The sequence below is a fragment of the Homo sapiens genome, chromosome 10 (assembly GCF_000001405.40).
Source record: "Homo sapiens chromosome 10, GRCh38.p14 Primary Assembly".
NCBI lineage: Eukaryota > Metazoa > Chordata > Mammalia > Primates > Hominidae > Homo > Homo sapiens.
In genome coordinates, this window is record NC_000010.11 from 67,792,150 (window position 1) to 67,796,207 (window position 4,058).

Sequence of the window (4,058 nt, forward strand, 5' to 3'; positions counted from 1 at the left end):
GTGTGGTTCCAAAACTTAGCTGGGCATGGTGGTGGGCACCTGTAATCCCAGCTACCTAGGAGGCTAAGGCAGGAGAATCGCTCAAAACCGGGAGGCAAAGCTTGCAGTGAGCCGAGATGGCGCCAAATGCACTCCAGCCTGGGCGACAAGAGCGAAGCTCTGTCTCAAACAAAAGAAAAGAAAAGAAAAGAAAAGAAAAAAGTATGGTTTATCCACACAATGGAATGCTAAGTAGCAGGTAAAAAGAATAAAGTAGCATTCACACACTAAAATGAAAAAACTCCCAAGATATATTAACTGAGTAAATGGGAGTTATTCAGCAGTGGATATACGGTGCTACCATTTGCGTAAAGAACAGAAACACATATATGTGTGTAAATGCATGGGATATCTAAGGAAAGATATGCAAGAAATAGTGCCTCAACACACACTAATGCAGTAAGAATGGGAACTAATACACATAGTGCTTACTCCTCATGTTCTAAGCACATTACATATTTAAACTAATTCAGTACACTCCTTTTAAACTGACAGATATTCACATACCTGTCTTACTTCACTGGAATATCAGCTCCTTGAGTGCATAAACATGGCATAAGCCTTTTTATATGCTACACAGGCCAGGTGTTGTGGCTCACACCTAAAATCCCAGCACTTTGGGAAGCCAAGGCAGAAGGATCACTTGAGGCCAAGAGTTTGAGACCAGCCTGGGCAATACAGCAAGACCCCATCTCTACAAAATATGTGTATTGTGTATGATACATATGTGTGTGTGTGTGTGTGTGTGTGTGTGTATCCTACACAAATGCTAGTATATTTATCACATAATATTCTCAGGAAGTATGTGTCTCATTCAGTCAGTATCAAATATAAGAGAAAATATCTTCATTTAGAGCTGCTGATCTTAGAGGTTAATAATCATTAAGTAGAAATATATTTTCATAATGAGTTTGCCGTAGCATGAAGTTGAGCCACAATGCAAAAATAAGTGGCATTGAAAGTGCGCTATTCTATATATGTACACCCAATTATAGTTGTGCTGGACACACCAGGGAACTGAACTGAATTATTGAAGAAACGTCCTGTTTTCTTCTTACTTTCCATTCAAAAGACTGCATTATCACAGCACAGTCCCCTCCCTTTTTATACTTTGAGTTCAGGGGAGTATTTTTAAGTGTTTAAGTTTAAAAGGTCTGCTACTAAGTTAAATGGGATCAAGTATATAAAGTGCTTAGTACAAGCCTGCCCCACCATAAACCTCCTTTAAAGTGGAGCAATGTCTCTTTTTCATGTTGGAGGCTTCAGGCATTATGGAAGAGAAAAGTAAACAAGAGCTGGTGCTCAATCTTGTCGACAATTGGGAAATGAGTCTGTAACAAAAATAGAGTGGAACGTGGGAGTGAAGTGTTTTTGCCTTTGACAAGTCATTAAAAGTCATCAGTGTTATAAATCAGACAGTCTGGGGAAAGAGAAAAAAAATAAATAAAACCCTGATTCTTAGATTCAAAAATTCACTTGTTCAATATGGTATTTATTTGGGTGCCTACATAGGTGAGGCAGGCATTATAACAGGCAATTGTTGCCTTTTGGCGGGAACCGCTCTCTTCCAGTAATTCGCCAAAATAACAAACACAAAGGGAAAGAGGAGAGGCACCCATAGATGTTCTCTAGGCCTTTTAGAAAACATGGACTTGTTCCTTTGACCCCGTATATGCGAATCTATTAGAAAGGTGACATTGTATGCATAAGGGAATGGGTACTGTTCAAAAAGGAATGCCCCGCAAGTGTTACCAGGGCAAAACCGGAAGAGTCTACAGTGTTACTGCATGCTGTTGGCATTGTTATAAACACACGAGTTAAGGGCAAGATTCTTGCCAGGAGAATTAATGTATGTATTGAGCACATTAAACACTCTAAAAGCCGAGATAGCTTCCTGAAACGCATGAAGGAAAATGATCAGAAAAAGAAGGAAGCCAATGAGAAAGGTTCCTGGGTTCAACTGAAGCGCCAGCCTGCTCCAGCCGGAGAAGTGTACTTTGTGGGAACCAATGGGAAGGCGCCTGAGCTGCTGGAACCTATTCCCTATGAATTCATGGCATAATAGGTGTGAAAAATAATAAAAGACCTCTGAAATGTAAAAATGTTCCTCTTCATTGAGTAGAAGTGTGGTGTCCCTTCCCCCAAAGAAATATTTAAAGCAAATTTTAATCGTGTCCTAATTCACTGTGTAACGTCTTTACTATTCAAATTTAATGTATTTCTTGCTGAAAGATGTGAGGTGGCTTATTGTGCAACAAATTACTCAATTGGTTACAAAATAGCCAGATATTATTTATGGCTGGTTTGAAGATAGTCCCTCTAAATCACCATGGAAGAAACAAAATAATTTACAAAAATTTAAGTTAAAAAAAAAAAAAAAAAAACAGGTGGCCGGGGGCGGTGGCTCATGCCTGTAATCCCAGCACTTTGAGAGGCTGAGGCAGGTGGATCACCTGAGATCAGGAGTTTGAGACCAGACTGGTCAACATGGTAAAACCCTGAGTAACTACTAAAAATACAAGAATTAGCCAGTCGTGGTGGCGGGCACCTGCAATCCTAGCTACTCTGGAGCACCTGCAATCCTAGCTACTCAGGAGGCTGAGCCAGGGAGAATTGCTTGAACCCTGGAGGCGGAGGTTGCAGTGAGCCGAGACTGTGCCACTGTACTCCGGCCTGGGCAACAGAGAGAGACTCCGTCTCAAAAAAATAAAAATAAATAAATAAATAAATAAGCTACAATGATTGGAAGGACATGACATCTAAATAACAGACAGCCCTTTATACTGAATAAATTTAGCTTTTTAAAGGACACTGCCTGTGGGGGAGGGGAGTGGGAAAAAAATGGAAAACAAAGTTGTTGTCTTAGTCCACTGGGCTACTTAACAAAATACCATAAACTAGGTAGCTTATAAAAAACAATATTTTGTTTCTCACATTTCTGGAGACCGGGAAGTCCAAGATCAGGGCAGATTCATTATCTGGTAAGGCCCCACTTTCTGGCTTACAGATGGTGACTTCCTGCTGTGTCCTCACATGGTGGAAGGAATGCAAGGGGTCTCTCTCTCTCAATCCTCTTTCATAAGAGCACTAATCCCATTCATGAGGGTGAGCCCGCATGACATAATCACCTCCCAAAGGCGTCACCTCCTAATACCATCACCTTGGGTGTTAGGATTTCAACATGTGAATTTGGGAGGAACATAAACATTCAGGCCACAGCACTTACTATACTCTTATCTTTCTCAGTGTGCTGTAGCCCAGTGAAAACTCTGTCACTGACTAAGGAACCTCTACTCTAAAATCCTTTTTTTTCTTTATTTTTCATTCACTTGTTTGCAAGCTAAAAAGTAAATATAGACTACATGTTTTCATCAATAATTCCAACCTAAAGAAGTTCTATTACCTAACAGGTTCATTTTCATAGTTAGAATGTAATTTATAAATTTATCATTTGCAGCCAGGCACAGTGGCTCATGCCTGTAATCCCAGCACTTTGGGAATCTGAGGTGAGCAGATCACTTGAGGTCAGGAGTTTGATACCAGCCTGGTCAACATGGTGAAACACCGTCTCTACTAAAAATACAAAAAAAATAACTGGGCGTGGTGGCACACTCCTGTAATCATAGCTACTCAGGAGGCTGAGGCAGGAGGATCGCTTGAACCTGGGAGGTGGAGGTTGCAGTGAGCTGAGATCATGACACTGAACTCCAGCCTGGGATACATAGCAAGACTCCATCTCAAAAAAAAAAAATTATCACTTGCTTATATAACACAAAAAATCTTGTAAAAACATAATTTCCAGTTGGGCGCAGTGGCTCACACCCGTAATCCCAGCACTTTGGGAGGCCGAGGCGAGTGGATCACAATGTCAGGAGTTCAAGACCAGCCTGGCCAAGATGGTGAAGCCCTGTCTCTACTAAAAATACAAAAATTAGCCAGGTATGGTGGCAGGCACCTGTAATCCCAGCTACTTAGGAGGCTGAGGCAGGAGAATCACTTGAACCCAAGGGACAGAGGTT

General features: G+C 41.1%; 1 pseudogene; it reads left to right on the forward strand.

Moving 5' to 3' along the window:
• RPL21P92 (ribosomal protein L21 pseudogene 92) lies at positions 1,580-2,130 on the forward strand (annotated as a pseudogene).